The 16885-nt window shown below is 63.1% G+C and overlaps 1 protein-coding gene and 1 long non-coding RNA gene across 5 annotated transcripts in view, besides 5 other annotated features; both read right to left on the bottom strand.

Annotated features, from left to right (window-relative positions):
• Positions 1 to 16885, bottom strand: part of RTEL1-TNFRSF6B (RTEL1-TNFRSF6B readthrough (NMD candidate)) — a 40889-nt gene that overhangs the window by 2362 nt on the left and 21642 nt on the right. The window contains exons 13-35 of the long non-coding RNA NR_037882.1: positions 16391 to 16488; positions 15618 to 15673; positions 10740 to 10814; positions 10465 to 10546; positions 8567 to 8699; positions 8287 to 8400; positions 8158 to 8198; positions 7951 to 8036; positions 7732 to 7809; positions 7205 to 7282; positions 6689 to 6835; positions 6472 to 6587; positions 6127 to 6250; positions 5896 to 6043; positions 5390 to 5532; positions 4500 to 4595; positions 3334 to 3532; positions 3054 to 3194; positions 1849 to 1965; positions 1363 to 1596; positions 1116 to 1271; positions 687 to 1009; positions 483 to 559 (exon numbers count right to left, since the gene is read on the bottom strand). This is a non-coding gene — a long non-coding RNA (RTEL1-TNFRSF6B readthrough (NMD candidate)). The remainder of the gene's footprint in view (positions 1 to 482; positions 560 to 686; positions 1010 to 1115; positions 1272 to 1362; positions 1597 to 1848; positions 1966 to 3053; positions 3195 to 3333; positions 3533 to 4499; positions 4596 to 5389; positions 5533 to 5895; positions 6044 to 6126; positions 6251 to 6471; positions 6588 to 6688; positions 6836 to 7204; positions 7283 to 7731; positions 7810 to 7950; positions 8037 to 8157; positions 8199 to 8286; positions 8401 to 8566; positions 8700 to 10464; positions 10547 to 10739; positions 10815 to 15617; positions 15674 to 16390; positions 16489 to 16885) is intronic.
• RTEL1 (regulator of telomere elongation helicase 1) overlaps positions 84 to 16885 on the bottom strand; it is a 38444-nt gene continuing 21642 nt past the window's right edge. For 2 of the 4 annotated variants that reach the window (NM_032957.5, NM_016434.4), the window contains exons 13-35: positions 16391 to 16488; positions 15618 to 15673; positions 10740 to 10814; positions 10465 to 10546; positions 8567 to 8699; positions 8287 to 8400; positions 8158 to 8198; positions 7951 to 8036; positions 7732 to 7809; positions 7205 to 7282; positions 6689 to 6835; positions 6472 to 6587; positions 6127 to 6250; positions 5896 to 6043; positions 5390 to 5532; positions 4500 to 4595; positions 3334 to 3532; positions 3054 to 3194; positions 1849 to 1965; positions 1363 to 1596; positions 1116 to 1271; positions 857 to 1009; positions 92 to 559 (exon numbers count right to left, since the gene is read on the bottom strand). In NM_032957.5, coding sequence (NP_116575.3) covers positions 552 to 559; positions 857 to 1009; positions 1116 to 1271; positions 1363 to 1596; positions 1849 to 1965; positions 3054 to 3194; positions 3334 to 3532; positions 4500 to 4595; positions 5390 to 5532; positions 5896 to 6043; positions 6127 to 6250; positions 6472 to 6587; positions 6689 to 6835; positions 7205 to 7282; positions 7732 to 7809; positions 7951 to 8036; positions 8158 to 8198; positions 8287 to 8400; positions 8567 to 8699; positions 10465 to 10546; positions 10740 to 10814; positions 15618 to 15673; positions 16391 to 16488 — 2623 coding nt within the window. In that variant the 3' untranslated portion in view covers positions 92 to 551. Of the gene's footprint in view, positions 560 to 686; positions 1010 to 1115; positions 1272 to 1362; positions 1597 to 1848; positions 1966 to 3053; positions 3195 to 3333; positions 3533 to 4499; positions 4596 to 5389; positions 5533 to 5895; positions 6044 to 6126; positions 6251 to 6471; positions 6588 to 6688; positions 6836 to 7204; positions 7283 to 7731; positions 7810 to 7950; positions 8037 to 8157; positions 8199 to 8286; positions 8401 to 8566; positions 8700 to 10464; positions 10547 to 10739; positions 10815 to 15617; positions 15674 to 16390; positions 16489 to 16885 lie in introns of all 4 variants that reach the window. The other 2 variants (NM_001283010.1, NM_001283009.2) reach the window with 2 other exon arrangements.
• Positions 341 to 390: an enhancer, noted in NCBI's record as "active region_18242". NCBI's record gives its function as "activates an Ori minimal core promoter by ATAC-STARR-seq in GM12878 lymphoblastoid cells {active_cell/tissue: GM12878}" and the evidence as "EXISTENCE:reporter gene assay evidence [ECO:0000049][PMID:35858748]".
• Positions 6944 to 7088: an enhancer, noted in NCBI's record as "145 bp 20:62320674 sequence used in MPRA reporter constructs". NCBI's record gives its function as "activates a minimal TATA-containing promoter with rs16983884 allelic activity by MPRAs in C283T melanocytes and UACC903 melanoma cells {active_cell/tissue: C283T | UACC903}" and the evidence as "EXISTENCE:reporter gene assay evidence [ECO:0000049][PMID:36423637]".
• Position 7016: a transcriptional cis regulatory region, noted in NCBI's record as "rs16983884 or 20:62320674 MPRA-significant variant associated with a GWAS melanoma risk locus at 20q13.33". NCBI's record gives its function as "allelic transcriptional activity by MPRAs in C283T melanocytes and UACC903 melanoma cells {active_cell/tissue: C283T | UACC903}" and the evidence as "EXISTENCE:reporter gene assay evidence [ECO:0000049][PMID:36423637]".
• Positions 12174 to 12898: an enhancer, noted in NCBI's record as "H3K27ac-H3K4me1 hESC enhancer chr20:62314792-62315516 (GRCh37/hg19 assembly coordinates)". NCBI's record gives its function as "activates a minimal SCP1, AML or CMV promoter by ChIP-STARR-seq in naive H9 embryonic stem cells {active_cell/tissue: H9 hESC(naive)}" and the evidence as "EXISTENCE:reporter gene assay evidence [ECO:0000049][PMID:30033119]".
• Positions 13625 to 14349: an enhancer, noted in NCBI's record as "H3K27ac-H3K4me1 hESC enhancer chr20:62313341-62314065 (GRCh37/hg19 assembly coordinates)". NCBI's record gives its function as "activates a minimal SCP1, AML or CMV promoter by ChIP-STARR-seq in naive H9 embryonic stem cells {active_cell/tissue: H9 hESC(naive)}" and the evidence as "EXISTENCE:reporter gene assay evidence [ECO:0000049][PMID:30033119]".

Genomic DNA, 16885 nt, shown 5'->3' with positions numbered 1-16885 from the left:
TACAGTGTCACATGGCAGGCTGGGAGGGGCCTCTGCCAACTCCCTGTCCCTCAACTCCCACCACCAAGCCCAGGCCACGAAGACACCGTCCTGGGCACTGCCAGCAGCTTTATTAGAGAGCCCTGTCCCCTGATTAAAAGTGGACACGTGCCCACGGGGGTCTCCTCCTTCCCGGTGAGGGGCTCAGCTGGGGTGCCCCTGTGGCACCACTCACAGGCCAGGAGCCAGGGAAGTTCTGGGGAAGCACTTTCCCAGAAACCCACCCCAGACCCCAAGGTAGCTCAGGGCTTCTCAGAGGCAGGCCCAGATCCGGTCCCACCGCAGGGACCAACCATGGGCCCCGCCTGCCTGAGGCCTGCAGCGGGCCAAGCCGGCTGGCATGGGCTGGCCTATTCTGTTGGGTGGGTTCTTGGCCCACCAGAGCTGGACAGGCAGGTGATCAAGCCACGTTGGGTGTGCTGGGGGCCTCCGTGGGCACTCACTGGGGCTCTGGCCAGAAGACCTGCATGACGCTCTGCTTCCTGGAGGCGGTGTGGCAGGCTGGGCACATCCTAGAGGCCTGTGAGACAACCGGCCCACTGCACACGTCTGCCAGGCGTTGCCACCAGGACAAGGGCCTGCCCTTTCCCCCTCAGCCCATCACCTGGGGCTACACCCAGCAGGAACTGTAGTGGCCAGGCACCAACCTGAAGGTGCCGTTGCCAGCAGGCTTGGCAGCGCTGGAAGTCACAGGCAGGGCACTGGAAGGGCACCACGTCCTCTGCCCCACAGCCCTGGCACACACAGCCTGCTGAGAGGGGCCCGCCCGGAGCTCCCGTGGCCTGCTGCCCAGCGATGTCTCTCCCATGAGGCTCACCCCACTCAGATGCTGCAGGCCCGTGGGGAGGTCCTGAGGACTGGCTGGGACCTGCATCCTCACCGCCCGCCCCCACAGTCCCTGCTGGCCTCTGTCTAAGGAAGGACGAGATCTTGCTCTGGGTCTTCCCGGTCTTCTCGGACCGTGAGGGGCCTGGAGACAGAGACTTGAGTCTGAGGGGGGCCTGGGGCTTTGCTGCTCACTCCCAGGGCTGCGTGCGGTTGGGGCGCTGCCAGGAGCAGCCAGGCAGGTGCCCTACCTGGTTGGGGAGCCCTGTGGGTAAGCACAGGAGGCACGGCAAGCCTCTCCTCCTGGGGTCCCGGTGGCTCCATGCCCGGGTAGGGCCGGCCGGTCAGGTCTGTGCACGTCTGTGAGAAGCGCTGCTTGTGGTGTGGACGCACAAACATGCTGAACCCTGCGGGGAGCTTCAATCAGACCCGGCACAGCCCCCATTTTGTCCCCTGCCCCCCACCCCACCGGCTGTTCCCCACGCCAGGGCCACTTGCTGTGCAGCAGGGGGAAGTCCTCTGGCTTTGCAGTGGTCAGGGCGGCCAACACAGCCAGCACCTTGTCGAGGTCGTCGTCTTGCTTATAGGCTGTCAGCGCTGCCAAGAGTTGGCTACAGCCCGCGGACCCCAGGGCCCTGCGGGCATCAGCCAGGTAGGCGCTCACGGCGTGCTGGCCCTGCTTCCCTGCTCTGGGCACTCCAGACCCCCACTGTGGTTGGCTGCCAGGGTCTCCTGGTGTGGGAGTAGCATGGCTCAGAGTGGCGCTGGGGTGGAGGACTGAGAGTCCCACCGCCCTGCCCGCCCTTCCTCCAGGAACTCCTGGAGAGCTGCTCAGGACAACTGCGGGGTGCAGAACCGGGAGCAGTCCCCACCATGAGATGGCTCCCCACAGGGGCAGCCCCGGCCACACTCAAGAGTTAGCCTCGTGAAGCCACTGAGGGACCCACCAAGTCGTAGGCTGCACACGGTTCAGGAGTCAGCTACCTGTTGGGGGTGGCCTGGGCGACAGGTGGGGCCTGCCCTGGTTCAGGTGCTCTTGGGGGTCCAGCTGCTGGGCTGCAGCCGTGGACACGGTCAGCTTGGGATCCGGCGCCGTTCTTCCTGATGAAGAGATGTAGAGCCACAAAGCTGGTCGAGAGCATCTGGAAAGTTCCCTGGGGTGGGGGGGCAGGGCTGGCTAGGGAGGCCAGGCCTCACCCACCTCAGACCAGGGCGGGAAAACCCAGGCAGGTACACGCCTGGGTGCTGGGGGCATCAGAGGAGACACCAGCCTGCTGGATGGGGGCTGGAACAGTGGCGGGCAGGCCAAAGCCCCACTCAGGAGCTCAGAGCCGTAGGCTGGGTGCAGGCATGAGGATATCCCAGTGAGTACCAAGCCCAGAAGGGATCTGGGGTCGTCCCAACAGGCTAGGTTCCCCCCTGGGTGAACTAGGGGAACTCTGTAGGGGCTGTTCATTAACACACGAACACAGATGCTTCCGCCTCTGGAGACTTGGACTCCACCCCAAACAGAGGCAGAAACAGGGAGGACAGGGGTCTAGGACCCTAGGACCCTGGCGTGTGCAGTTGACCCCCCAGGACCATGCATGGGAGGCAGGGGACGTGTGGCAGTTGGACAGGGCTGTGCTTAGGGGTCGGGGCTATGGCAGGGACAGGGCTGTGCATGGAGTTGCACAGGGTCTCCCCAACAAGTGATGCTGCTGCTGGTGGAGGTGGAGGTGGTGGTGGTGGTGGAGGTGGAGGTGGTGGTGCAGGTGGTGGTGGTGGAGGTGGTGGTGGTGGTGGTGGTGGTGGTGGTGGTGGTGGTGGAGGTGGTGGTGGAGGTGGAGGTGGTGGTGGTGGAGGTGGTGGTGGAGGTGGAGGTGGTGGTGGTGGAGGTGGAGGTGGTGGTGGTGGAGGTGGAGGTGGTGGAGGTGGAGGTGGTGGTGGTGGTGGTGGTGGTGGAGGTGGTGGTGGTGGAGGAGGTGGTGGTGGAGGTGGAGGTGGTGGTGGAGGTGGAGGTGGAGGTGGAGGTGGAGGTGGTGCTGCTGGTGCTGGTGGTGGAGGTGGAGGCCCCCATCACTCCCATAGGGGAACAGAGAGGCGGGGCCAAGCAGGGCCCGAGGATGCCCACCCCAAGCAGCCCAGGACTCTGGCCCACACTGCCTTCCACGCAGGAGTCTGAGGGTCCCACCTGGGGCCCCATTTACCAGTGGGGTCCAGGACCGGCTGTGCCCGCTGCCTTCGGGGAATGCTGTGCTCAGGCCGATAGCCACAGCCTCGTCCTGTCAGCTGGATACAGACCTCCTCAAACTGCTGCTTATGGTGGGGCCGCACAAACTGGTAGAAGCCTGTAGAGGAAGGGGCGTCTGTCCCCATCTGCCCCTTTTTCTCTAGAGAACAGAGACCACCTTGGACCCAGATGGCCCCCACCCCACACGCGGCGGCAGCACTGCCCTCAGGGTGGGTGGCCTCTGCAAGCCAGGGCACCTTGGAGCAGGTTGTGCTTCTTGGGGTCCTCAGCAAAGAGGGGGCCGAGACAGGCGGCCAGGGCGGCGAAGTCATCGGAACCCTTGTAGTCCTGCAGGGCCTGGGTGAAGGTGGCAAAGTTGGCTTGGCTCAACTCCTGCTTCACGGCCACCATGAAGAGCTTGGCCCTGTCCGTCTGTGCACCAGCCACGGGCTCCTCCTGCAGGACACAGGCCCGAGGCTCCATCAGGGCCAGCCTCATCATCTGGTCCCTGGGGCTGCAGAGCCTTCCTTGGAACATTGAGCGTTCCCTGGGACAGTGACTGCCGAGGTGGGGCTGCTGCCTGAGAAACTGGCTGGCTGGATGGACATAGGGAGGGGCTGCGGGAAGAAAGCTGTGGGGCTGGGCCCGTCTGAGGTCACACAGTGAGAGGCTGGCAGGGAACTGAGAGCAGTGAATGGGCAAAGGGTAGATTGGCTCTGCCTCAAGCCAGGGGTCCTGCATGGCCCGTCTCTCTCCTCCTCCCTCAAGCCCCCTGCCCCACAGCGGATGCGGCTGAGGCTCCCAGGATGGCAGCGCACAAGGAGGGGCTTCCGGATGAGCAGTGCCCATCTCTCTACACACCCCAGACCAACACGGAAACGTGGAAACCAAGGCAGGGGCGGCCCAGGCACTCCCCACCCAGGCCCTCGCCAGCCCAGGCCCCTCAGCAGCCACCCACTTCCTGATGGCACCAGCCCTGCCTGGGCACCACCCAGTTCTTCCCAGAAGCCAAGGGACATGGACAAAGGCCGCCACACTTGGGGTTTTCCAGCAGGCAGGGGGCTTCCTGGCTCCGGCTATAACTCCGTTCTTTGATCCAAGGCTAGGAATGGGCTGTGTCCCTCACATGAGGCAGGTGTGCATCCACACTTGAGGGAAATGCCAGGGCCAAGCCCAGTGCTGCAGGCCCCATGCCAAACCTGCCCAAGGGTGGGGCCTGATTCCAGCTGGGACTCATGAGCCCCCTGCAGAAGAAACCACACACTTGAGCCCCTGGCCGTCAGCATCACAGCTGCCCTGGACATCAGCTCCTGGGGGTGGATTCCCTGGTCCCATCGGGACCAGCCGTGGCTGGGGGCACCCACGGCTGCGTTCCCATGCGTGTCTATGGTGGTCGGCACAGGTGCAGGGACAGCTCACGCACCGGGTGGCTGACCAGCCGGATCTTCTTCCTCCCTCCTCGCGGTTCTTCTGCCGGCCTCTTCTCAGACAGGAGGGACAGGGTGGAGCAGCTGTGGGCCTGAGGAGGACACAGCTCACAACCACACACAGACCCCAACCACACACTCTGGGGTCCCAAAGCACCTGGACGCACAGGGAAGATGGTCCCAAGGAGCCCTGAGCCAAGATGGAGGTCGGGGGAGGGGGGCACAGCACACCCCGGTGACAGTGCCACAACTTGGTCCTGTCCAAGTCACACCAGCGGCTCATGAGGCTCGCAGGTGGTGACTTGTAAGAGCAGGTCCAGGGAAGACAGTCCGACCACAGCGAGGGGCTGGCAGGAAGGGGACACAGGTGCCTGGTGCCTGCACCTGGAGCTCACTCCAGGGGCCTGAAGGGCAGGGATGGGCAGGAAGAGGGGAATGGCTCCCAGCAGGAAGCAGGGAGAAAATTTCGGGTTGGCCTGAGGAATTATGGGCTTCTGGGGCAAAAGGCCCCAAGGAAGAAGGAACCTGGGTTCCACCCGCAGCACATTCCTGGAGAAAGGCCAGCCTCAAGCGCAGCCAGTGGCAGGGGCACCCGACCTTGAGTGCACTGAGCCAAGCTGACCCGCCAGAGAACCAAAGTGATGTGGGGGGCACCCGCGGAGGGCCAGGGCATGCACCACCTGGGAGCCAGCAGCCTGTGGGTGAGGTGGGGTGGAGGACCCACAGACAGCCAGGCAGCTGGGATCCCCCGCCCGCTTGCCCGCCTGCCTGCCAGGCAGGGGATTTACAGGGGTGTGTGGGGAGGTGCCTGAGGCCAGATGGGCGGGGTCGGGTTGGCCTCAGGAGACAGAGGGTCTGTGTCCATCCCAAGGCCCTGGAACTGTACCTGCTCCTCGCCAGGGCTCCCCGCCCGCTGTTCGCTGTGCTCCAGGGCGGCCAGCAGCCCCCTGGGCCTCTGCCGGGCAGGAACTGGCTCCTGCTCATACTCCACACACAGGCTACTCTCGGGGTCCCCGGCAGCTGGTGACCCTGCAGGGGCACCCGAGTGCGCAGTGAAGCCCACGGGGGGCCCCAGCTGGGGTCCCTGCCTGTGGCAAAGCCCCTCTTGGGGGAGAGTCCCAGCACTTGGGGTCCTGCCTGTGGGTGTCCTCCCTGCTATTGGGGGGAGTCTCAGCCTCGGGGGGCATCCTTGCCTGGGGCGTTCTCTGCCTGTAGGGGAGGGTTGCAGCCCGTGGGGGCCCTGCCCTAGGAGGGAGAGGCAGCCTTTGGAGGTGGGAGGGGAAGCGCACAAAGCCAGGTGAGTCGCCTCCGCCCTGGGCGCCTGGTGCTGCCCGCCCCACGCCGCCCGCTCCGCCACCCCCACACCGCCCACCCAGCGCTGCCCGTCCGCACCTGAGGACCTCTGCTTCAGGCTGGGGACATGCAGGTCCAGACTCTTAGCTTTCCTGGTGGAGAAGAAGGGGCCAGGCGACTTGGCCTCGCTGACAGCATCTTCTCCACGCACACTGGGTGCTGTAGCCCGGGGGGCCGGCGCTGGCATCTGCAGAACCATGGGGGTGGGTGGACCCATTTCTGGCTCCTCTGGGGACAACACCCTCATCCCCTCCCTGGGCAGGAACTCACAGTTCGCTCGGCAACACGGAAGAACTGGGCCACGTCTCGGATGACATGGCCAAAGTTGTCATACACCCTGACGTGGGGACGCACCCAGGAGGGCAGTTGGGCTCTTGCGTCGGCAAAGGCGAACCTGGGGGGTGGCCATAGCCCTGCTGCCCTGCCCACAGCCGCTTCAAGGGTTCAGTTCACCGAAGTGAAGACCCTCATCTGCTGCAGGGGCCCCACGCTGACCCCGAGTAGCCGGAGAGGCTCTGGAGGAGACGGGGCCTCATGTGGGGAAGGAGAGTCCAGGGGCCCAGTGGGGTGTGGGCGTGTCCCCTGGCGCCGCGCCTGCCACCGGACTGCACGCACCTGTGGTCACAGAGGAAGACAGCTCCGTAGTCCTGGCGGTGCCGGATCACTCGCCCGATGGCCTGGTTCACAGCCCTGGACGCCTGCTGCCGGTACCACTCCTGCCCAGAGAGGAACTGTGGGGCGAGGCGGCTCGGTCACGGGGGCTCCCTTGGCCACGGGGCGGGGGCTCAGTCACCAGACCGCCTTACCCCAGCCCCACCCTGCTGTAACTCACCTGGCCCCCAGCCCCACCCTGGCCCTTCATCTCATCCAGGAACTGCATCTTGAGGACAACCCGGGGGTCCATGCGTGGGGGGTACGGGAGGCCCGTGACAATCACACCACGGCCATTCGTGTCTGAGAAGTCCAGCCCCTCGCTGGCCTAGGGGACACACCAGGGAGCTGCCTGGGGCCGTGGGGGCTCCTCTCCCTGGTGCCCACACCCAGCCCAGCCACCTTCCCCGAGGCTCCGTCCCCAACCAGGGGTGGGAGGAAGCTCCATCTGTGGGTCAGGACCCCACTTGGGGTCCACAGCTCCCAGACGCCACCTCCAACTCTTGTGGCCAGGAAACTCCCATCCTGCCTGCCCAGGCCCAGAGCAGGACACGCTCCCAGCAGGGCCAGCAGTCGCTCTCGTGGGACCCAAGGAGGGGACCGGGCAGCCCCCAGGGCCCAGAGTCTGCTGGGGAGCCATAAGCACCCACCAGGGAACAGGCAACCAGGTCAGGGCAGAGGGCCCTGGAGAGCTCACCTTGCCCCGGCAGACCGCCAGGAAGGTGGCGCCGGTGGACCCAGGGGCGGCAACCCTTGCATAGTAAGCACTGATGGTCTGGAAGGAAAGTTGGTGAGGCTGAGCCTGGAGCCCCCCCCCAGCCCCTTCCTCCCCCATGAGGGAGACCCAGGTCTCATGCTCCAAGATGAAGGATCGTCCTAGCCAGGAAGGCCAATCGGGTTCTGGAAGCTTCTTCCTGGCACGGATCCCAGGCTGACCCCACGCCTGCTCAGTGCTTCCCAGAAAACACGGGGAACCCCAGGGCCAGGGTGGCCGACTAGGGCTACTCAGACAGGAGGGCCACTGTTACCACACCCACCCGGTGCTGGGGGCTTTGTAAGATAAGAGGCAACACTCAGGGCCAGGAAGGAAACGCAGGAGCCCTGAAGAGGCAGCGGGAGCCGCCGGAGCCCATGGTCAGGGCCAGTGGTCAGCCTTGGGGAAGCTGTGAGAGGCAGGGGAGGCACGAGGGGGCAGCAGGCCCAGAGCCCCGGCCAAGTGCCGACCTCGGAGAAGCTGCCTTTGCTCCTGGGCTCCACAAACAGCGGCTTCAGCGCCTCCATCTTCCTGGCCAAGTCGCGGGCCTGTGGGAGGAAGAGGCAGGGACACGGCAGCCCTGGTCACGCCGCCGATCCGATGAGGGCAAGCAGGAGCTGTGACCACTGCCTGCTTCATGCTCCAGCCCTGCCCTCACCCACCCCGCCCAGAACACAGGGGAGACGCACCCGCCAGAACTCCAGGCTCTTCTCCATGACAGGATAGGAAGGGAAGAAGATCAGGAGCCCATAGGGCACCACGCGGGCGATGTTGCCTGGAAGTGCAGGGGCCGGGGTCAAGGCAGGGGCAGGATGTCTGCAGGGTTCCCTACCAGCTCTTGGGAGCAGGGGTCCAGGATCCAGGATGGGCACAGCTGGGGCATTCAGGGCACTCACCCAGAGCCTTCCCCAGGGAGGATAAGCACTCCTCGGAAAACCTAGAGCCGGAGAGGCCACTGCTCAGGACCTCAGGCCTCAGTGCTCCCCCACCTCCCACCCCAGCAGGGCCCAGGGACAGGCCCTCACCGTCTGTCAAACGCGGAGCTCAACTGGGCTCCATCGGGGCCTCTGGGGACGACCCCCACCCAGATCTGGTGCTTGTCGATGATGTGTGGGTTCTCCAGGCAGACTGGGAAAGGGCTGAGCGTGGCCAGAGGGAGCAGACAGTGGGGAAGTGCACCAGCACCCCTTTAGCCCTCGAGGCCCGAGACCCCCAGCACCCGGCTCATGGGGACCCCCACCACTTCCACCCCGCTGATGTCAGAGGTGTCACCGGTGCTCAGGCCCTGGCAGGGGTGGCCCGTACATCTGCATCTCCAGAGCAAAGGAGGACACCGGGGCCAGCGTGCCGCTGGTAAGGATGAGGGAGCGGACGCCCTGGCGGACCAGCTCGTGCATGCTGTGGCCGGGACTGAAGCACCAGTAGCTCAGCACCTTCCCTGTGGGGCGGGGGGCGGCAGAGGGCACAGAGTGTGAGGACGGGACTGGGGGCCTGACCACCTGCCTCTCTGCCCATCACCCTCTCCACCCACTGGCATCAAGCAAGCGAGCCGCGGGCAGCCACCCAGGCCCACTGTGCAGAAGTCAGAACAAAGGAGGCTGCCCTGAGTGTGAGCCTGCCAGCTTGGGGCCCCTCTGGGGGACAGGGGGTCCTGGGAGTAGGAGGCAGACCCCAGGCAGAGGCTGGGGACACCTGCAGAGAGGTCAGCCCACTCCAACCCTAAACTTCTGCAGAAACTGTGACATGCGGCTCAGGGCAAGAAGCCCACCCCGCCAAGAGCACACGGGAAGGAAGCGCCGGCATCCCGACATTCCACGGCCGCGTGCAGAAGACGGGGTGCGAGTTCCCAGCTCTGCCTGGAAGCAGGACACGTGCACAAGCCTCTGAGTGGCGTCAGCAGTGAACAAGGGCGCCAGCTCAAAGGAAGTTCCTAGAAGGGCTTGACCGACTGGCCACGGCGGCCGTGGCCTGGGGAGGAGGCTGAGTCTGGATGCCGGATGCCGGGAATTCAACACGGCACAAGCAGAACGACTCTGACTGCGATTCGGAGTCAGCAGGGACGAGGCACGTTTCCTTCCTGGGGCTGAGTGTGCCCTGCAATGGGGGAACTTCCCCACCCCCTCCTCCAGGAGCTCATTTCCTACAAACGCCCAGTGCAGGGAGTGGCTGCTTCTGAGAAGTCAAGTGACATCAGAGGTCAATGGAACAAACAGATTCCAGGCCCTTGGAATCTGTGCACCGGCTGCCTCAGGCACGCACTGCCTCCCGCAACCCCAACTGCGTGAGGGGCGCCGGCCTCCCCCCGGGATGGACGCTTCCTGCTGGGAGAGGCCTTGCTGCAGGACCATCACCGAGCGGGGGTCAAGCCACGCCACCCTGACGCCCTCCCAGCCCTTCCCTTCCGGCTCGGCCAGGCAGACCCAACCACAGCAACCGCACAAGGGCTGCTTCAGCCAGGGCCACGTCATGCCACCATGGGTCGGACAGCAGCTGAGAAAGAATGTTCCAGAGAGGGACGAACCAAGCCCAGAGGCAAGGCCCCACTGGAGCACAAGGCAGGGGCAGCAGCTCCCGCAGCTGCAGCCGTGAAGCCCCACCCTGGACACCACGCAGTGGGGGTGGGGCCAGATACACCCCAAGAACCACAGGGCTCCGGACACGGAGCCGAGGGCACACTCACAGACCCCATCCACACAGCGTCCCCGGCAGCACCGACTCGAAGACGCCACGGAGCACAGGAAGCCAAGAAGGCACGTGGGGCCTCGGGGCTGAGCGCACCAGGGGCTTCGGACAACAGGGCCAGCCGGGCCCCCTTCAGATGTGACCCTGAGGCTTGGCCCGGCCAGGCGCTGCGTGGAGGCAGCAGGCAGAGCCGTGCCTCACTGTGGAGGCTCTGTGCTGACGGCCTCGGCATAAACGAGCGTGTCCCAGCAGGGAGGCCTGGCTGGGCTGTGGCTCTGCCACCACCAACCAGGTGACTCTGGGCAGGTCACGGTGCCATCAGGCCATCTCCTACGTCTCTCAGTAACTCCAATCTTCAGAGGGACAGTGAGGAGAATGCTCTGGATTGGCCTGGATATGGAGAAGGTGGCCAGGCCCATGGGGGCAGGAGATCCACGGCTGGGCATGTGCCTAGCCTGTGGCATGGTGGTGCCGGGCACTGCACCCGGGCGGGCGGGGAGCGTGTGGGCCCAGGTCTGTACCTCGCTTTCTGGCTGCAGTGGTGCTCCAGGCATCAGACCGCTGAGCCGTCCTCCGGTGACCAGCATCAGGATGGATGTGCACCTGGAGGGGACAGGACCAGGAGTGTGGAGGCCCCGCCCATGTCCTGGGGGCAGCCCCTTACCTTTTAGGACCAGAAGACCCCCAGCCCCACCTGCCTCCTGGAGGTGGCCCCCACCTTATAGGACTGTAAGGCCCCCAGCCCTGCCGGGGAACAAGGGCTGCCCTCCACCTGCCTCCTGGAGGTGGCCCCTACCTTATAGGACTGTAAGGCCCCCAGCCCTGCTGGGGAACCAGGGCTGCCCTCGGAGGGGTCCACACTGAACACAATCTGAAAGGCAGAGGAAGTGCAGCCCCGTCAGGAGCCTGAGGCCACCCGACTTTCTGCAGCATCAGCCGCATACACAGAAGGTCACAGGACACCCAGGGGTCATCGGTTCACCGGCCCCTGCCATCATGCAGCCCCAGGCCAATGGACAGGAGCTGGCACCTGCCTGACCCTTTCTCCTCCCTGCAGGGACCCCCGGTGAGCTCTGTGTTCCCCCAACATAGGCCATCTCCATGCACTGAAAATGCGGCAGCCCGAGGGGCCTCTCCTCCCGCCAACTGGCCCAGCCCTCCTCTCTGTGCCCCTGAGGGCCCCAAATTAATCTAGAAATTCAACATGGCCTAGTGCAGTGGCTCAGGCCTGTAATCCCAGCACTCCGGGAGGCTGAGAGGAGCAAACTGCCCGAACCCAGGAGTTCGAGACCAGCCTGGGCAACATGGTGCAACCCCAGGGTGTTCACCAAAAAAAAAAAAAAAAAAACCTAGCCGGGCATGGTGGCATGTGCCTGTGGTCCCAGCTACTTGGGAGGTTGAGCTGAGAGGATCCCCTGAGCCCAGGAGGTTGAGGCTGCAGTGAGCTGTGATGGTCCCACTGCACTCCAGCCTGGGCAACAGAGAGACCCTGACTCAAAAAAAAAACAGGAATTCAACACATTCTAGTCAAAATCACAGTAAGATTTTTACAGGAAGTAGACACGCTGACTCCAAGATGCACTATGGAAAAAACGTCAGGGCAGGTTTCAAAAGAACAAGAGGCCGGGCGTGGTGGCTCACACCCGTAATCCCAGCACTCTGGGAGGCCAAGGTGAGAGGATCACCTGAGGTCAGGAGTTCGAGACCAGCCTGGCCAACATGGCAAAACCCCATTTCTACTAAAAATATCAGGCTGGGCACGGTGGCTCATGCCTGTAATCCCAGCACTTTGGGAGGCGGATCACGAGGTCAGGAGATCGAGACCATCCTGGCTAACACGGTGAAACCTCGTCTCTACTAAAAATACAAAAAATTAGCCAGGCGTGGTGGCAGGTGCCTATAATCCCAGGTATTTGGGAGGCTGAGGCAGGAGAATGGCGTGAACCCGGGAGGCGGAGCTTGCAGTGAGCCGAGATCGCGCCACTGCACTCCAGCCTGGGCAACAAGAGCAAAACTCTGTCTCAAAAACAAACAAAAAGAAATTGGTTCAGGCCAACACCAGGACTTACGACAAAACCACAGTGAACAAAAACATGAGGAAAAGTGTGGCAGGTGCCCAGTGGAGTTGGGGGAAGCCGAGCCGCTCGGTCAGCGCACAGAACCACCGGTGTGGCGTGCTGGGAAAAATCAAGGTAGAGTCTGCCTTTCACACCCCCACAGGTGACGTCAGAAGGCATGGAGGCCCAGACACAAAGCTCCGTCACTCTACAGTGCAGTTTGGAGAATACACAAGACCCGGTTTAGCATCTTGGTCGGGAGGCACAAGCTCAGAACAAAAATCTGACAAGGAAACATGTGTTCACCAAACCTGTCATGAAAATGGAAAAAATGACCAGCATGAGACAAGGAAAGAATATGTATGTCGGCATGGGATCCTCAGAACTTAGAGAGAGAATATGTATATGGGATCCTCAGAACTTAGAGAGAGAATATGTATATGGGATCCTCAGAACTTACAGAGAGTATATGTATATGGGATCCTCAGAACTTACAGAGAACCCTGCAAATCAATGGGAAAGGAATGATGCCTGCACTAGGAGAGGAGCGCGTGACGACCGTTCCTGGAAAACGAGCCAAAAACGGCCAGAACAGGAACGCAAAGCCCCCAACAGGCTCAGCAATGTGGCCATGTCAGCCAAGCCACCGCCGTCAGAGCCCCGCCGCAGACTTGAGGGAGTTCTGCTGGGAACACCAAGAAGCCGGAATCATTCACAGAAATGCGGAGAAGCCGAACTAGAGAACACCGGGGGGCAGACACCACGGCTGGAACACAGAGACTTGGCAACATGCGTGGATTTGTGCAGGCGTGCGTGCGTGTGTGCGTACTCTGCATGCATGTGCACGTGCCTGGGTACGCACAGAAGGAGAGAGAAATTTCCTTCCGTTCCTTCCTTCCTTCCCAGCCATTTTCACTGTCAAGACAGCTAAACACAGGGCCTTGTGTTTTACCAAAGCATTTGGCCCACGGGGATGGAAGTAACAGAACAAGTTCACCCCCACGCTGGTGGCTGCCATGAGCAGGGCTGAGTCTGCCTCAGGAAACAGCTTCCTTCGAAAAGCCTTCTGCTGGGCAGGCATGGAAGCTCTTGCCTGTAATCCCAGCACTTTGGGAGGCCAAGGCGGGCAGACTGCCTGAGCCCAGGAGTTTGAGACCAGCCTGGGAAACATGGCAAGACCTCATCTCTACAAAAAAATTTTAAAAATTAGCTGAGTGCGGTGGTGCACACCTGTGTTCACAGCTCCTCGGGTGGCTGAGGCAAGAGGATCACTTGGGCCCAGGAGGTTGAGGCTGCAGTGAGCTGTGATCAAGCCCCTGCACTCCAGCCGGGGTGACAAAGCGAGACCCTTTCTCAAAAAAACACCACCACAAATCCCCCTGTGCCTCAGCCCAGGGCAGCTCCGGCCTCAGGCAGAGAGGGATGAGGACCCAGCAGTCTCACGGGGGCCCAGGGGCAACTGGTTCCCCAACACGGGCCAGCACTGCCCAGAGTTTGCCTCCAGCTAAGCCCTGACTTCCGAGCACACGGCCTGACCCTGCCTGGAGTTCGCCTCCAGCTGAGCTGTGCATCCCACATCCTCTTCCTGGGGCCACTGGCCCCACTCTGCCCCCAGGGTCACCTGTGACTCAGGGCTGCAGGCCCAACCCAGCACCAGCCCTATGGGCACCGCCCACACCTGCAGGGGCTCAGGAGCCAACGCGGGTGAGCACTGTGTGCAGTCCCTCATCCTCCAGGCACCCGAGGGCTGGCAGAAGCTGAGTCATCCACCAGCGGCTACTTAGAGCAGCAGCCAAAGGAAATTCCAAACCGATGGAGTGTGCAGGATTCGGTTCCAGAGTGTGGAGTCTTCTCCTTAAGTGGGGGCCTGGGAGGCCACGTTCCAGGATCCGGTTCCAGAGTGTGGAGACTTCTCCTTAAGTGGGAGGCTGGGAGGCCGCGTTCCAGGATCCGGTTCCAGAGTGTGGAGTCTTCTCCATAGCTGGGGGCCTGGGAGGCCGCGTTCCAGGATTCGGTTCCAGAGTGTGGAGTCTTCTCCATAGCTGGGGGCCTGGGAGGCCGCGTTCCAGGATTCGGTTCCAGAGTGTGGAGTCTTCTCCATAGCTGGAAGCCTTGGAAGCCGCATTCCAGGATTCAGTTCGAGTGTAGGAACCTCAGAAGCCACATTCTAGGATTCAGTTCCATAGTGTGGAGGAGACTTCTCCATAAGTGGGAGCCTGGGAAGCTGTATTCCAGGGAGGGACAGGCCCGGGCCAGCTCACACCTGCCCTCCAGGCCCTGGGCTGCAGGGCTACCTCGCCTGGCCATGTGCTGGAGGTGCTTTGCAGTGACCCATCAGGGACATGGAAGCAGGTCCGCCTGATAGGTGCACGGCCTCCTGCTTGAAGAGCCAACCACACTCCATGCGGGACAGCACAGCAGCCCTTGGCAGGCAGGAGCCACAGACAGAGGGGTCTGGGCCTGGGATGCCCACCGTGCCTTTGGGGAGGAGTTGGGAGGACAAGGCAGTGCTGTCCTTCCAGCCCCAGCTACCGCACAGAGAAGACACAGGCTGTGGCGTCACTGGCCACAGAGACGGCCACAGTGGAGGGAGGGCTGAGCCTGGGCCCCACCACCCTGTGCCCACCCCACCTGGTCCCTGCCCAGGTCTCGCCCCCGCTCAGAGCTGCGTCTGTGAAGGAGAAGGCAGTGCCTGCTTGTTCCGGGATCTGCAGCTCCATGCCCAGCAGCATGCACAGGCCAGCCATGCATCCCAGGGTTCTTCTGCGGCCTCCCCCAGCTCAAGCACCCCACAGGCCAGATGGACACTCATGAAGCTGTCATAGCGCTGGGCAGCCCTGCCTAACCCTGCCATGATCTCGTGTGGCCAGCAGGTACAGCGTGGGCAGCACAGAGGAGGCCTCACAGGGCTCCACACAGCCACCTGTGCCTTGGCTTCCCCAGTCAGGGACTTCTGAGTCTGCTTCTAAAAAAGCCACCGAGGCCCCGGAGAGGCAACGTGCCCAGAGCACCCAAAATGGGGCGTGCCCTCCACAAACCGGACAAGCACCTCTACGCCAGGGAAAGCAGGTGCTGCCATAGGCATGGAGCCAGAAGCAGACCTCACATGGGACGGGCATTGCAGGACAGGACGGGGCCAATGAGAAGGGGGCCAGGGTCGCACCCCCAATCATGGGCTCCCAGGGACACCCCTGCCGGGAACCTGCAGGGTCCCCATTTGTCTGTCCCTGGAGAAGCTGTTCAGGAAGCCGCGTGTGTCCAGAGCTCTTCATCTGCGTGCAGCTGGGGCTGCTGGGGCTGCCAGCAGTGGGTCCCCCCTGGCCTGAGGGCCCGGACAGGGCAGGAGCGGCTCCCCGGCCCCCACTGTCCTTTGCGTCCTCCCTCACCAGCATCACCCTGGGCATGTGCCACCAGACCTCGTCCTCCCCCATCCCTGCAGGAGGCCCAGTGTGGGTTTAGGGCACTGGAAAGGAGCCGAGAGTTTGCCAATCAGAAACAGGTGGTGTAGGGGCCTTTCTCCCATCCCCAAGTCTAGAATCAGTTAACTAATACAGCAGGAGAAGGCACCCGCCCGGCTTCCATCAGGGAAGGAGATGCCACAGAGGAGCAGGCCCCACCTGGATAATGTCCGCCAGCTTCTGCAGTCCGGCCGTGTTGGTGAACACTCCAGCACCTGGAGGGCAGCAGGGCGCTGACACCCACACTGCAGGCAGGGGAGGCCCCGACCCCAGCCCCGGCCCTTCCAGCATGAGCCCGCTCAGCCCGACTGCCAAGCTCCATCTCCTGCCCAATGGGGGGCCCAGGGTGGAGCGCAGCATCCATTCAGGGCGGGCAGTTCGCCTGCTCTTCCCAGCAGCCAGGAGAGAAGCCAGGCAGGGACAGAGTCTCCAAGGGGGTCAGTGGGACTTGAAAAGAGGCTCTATGGTCGCCTAAGGGTTGAAGCAGCAAAAGCCACCCTCCCCAGCACCCGGGAGCGCAGCAGAGGAGAGACCCCGCTGGGCCCGGCGTCTCAAACCAGAGCAGCCCATGGGGACACCGCCTCTGGGCAAAGCCTCTGGACCCCACAACTCTGAGAAGCAGAACTCGGGGTGGTGTGGAGAAGCCAGAGGCCCCACAAGCCAGCTAGGGCCTTGGGCTGCTCTTTCTCAAAAGCAGAATAATGGGATGAGGCTGTAGGACGAAGCCGCCAGCTGCAGAACTGGGACAGGCTCTACGGCAGCTGGCAAGTGGCACTAACGCCTCCACGCCCCGATCAGAAGATGAGGTTCTGTGGGCCTGTTCCTGCTGACGGCCAGGTGACGGCCAGGGGAGCCCTGACTGCCAAGATGGAGGCCTGCTGCACCCCCTACGCCACATTTGCCCGCACCAAAGACCCCGTGCCAGCACTCACGTCCTGCCAGGTGCTGGATGATCTGGTCCAGCGAGTCCAGGATGCAGCCCTTGGTCTGAAACGTGATCTGGGCTTCAGCAAACAGCTCAAAGATGTAGCTGCCGAGGAGAAGAAGGCAGGCTCGAGCCTGGCGGGGGGACCAGACTGCAGCTTTGGGAACTGAGGAGAAGAAGGCAGGCTCGGGCCTGAGGGGGGACGACACTGGTCAAAGATGTAGCTGCCGAGAAGAAAACAGGCTCGAGCCTGGAGGGGGAAATCAGGCTGCAGCTTTGGAACTGAAGGCAACAACTGTGGAAGTTTCCTTCCCTCGGAAACAAATTCAGCCCTCCAGGGGACGCCAGCATTGGAGGTGAGAGGCCTCCGCCCTCAGGAGCCTCCAGGTGGGGAGAGGAGGCCTGGCCAGCACGAGAACAGCACCGAGGAAAAGAAGCCGCCTCAGAGCAGGGGCCGCCGTCAGAGGGGAGGGATGGGGTCACTAGGGGGTCGTCAAGAGGT

Source organism: Homo sapiens, chromosome 20 (assembly GCF_000001405.40).
Source record: "Homo sapiens chromosome 20, GRCh38.p14 Primary Assembly".
NCBI classification, from domain to species: domain Eukaryota; kingdom Metazoa; phylum Chordata; class Mammalia; order Primates; family Hominidae; genus Homo; species Homo sapiens.
Note: the sequence above shows the minus strand (reverse complement) of the source record. Positions and strands in the feature narration are given on the sequence as shown.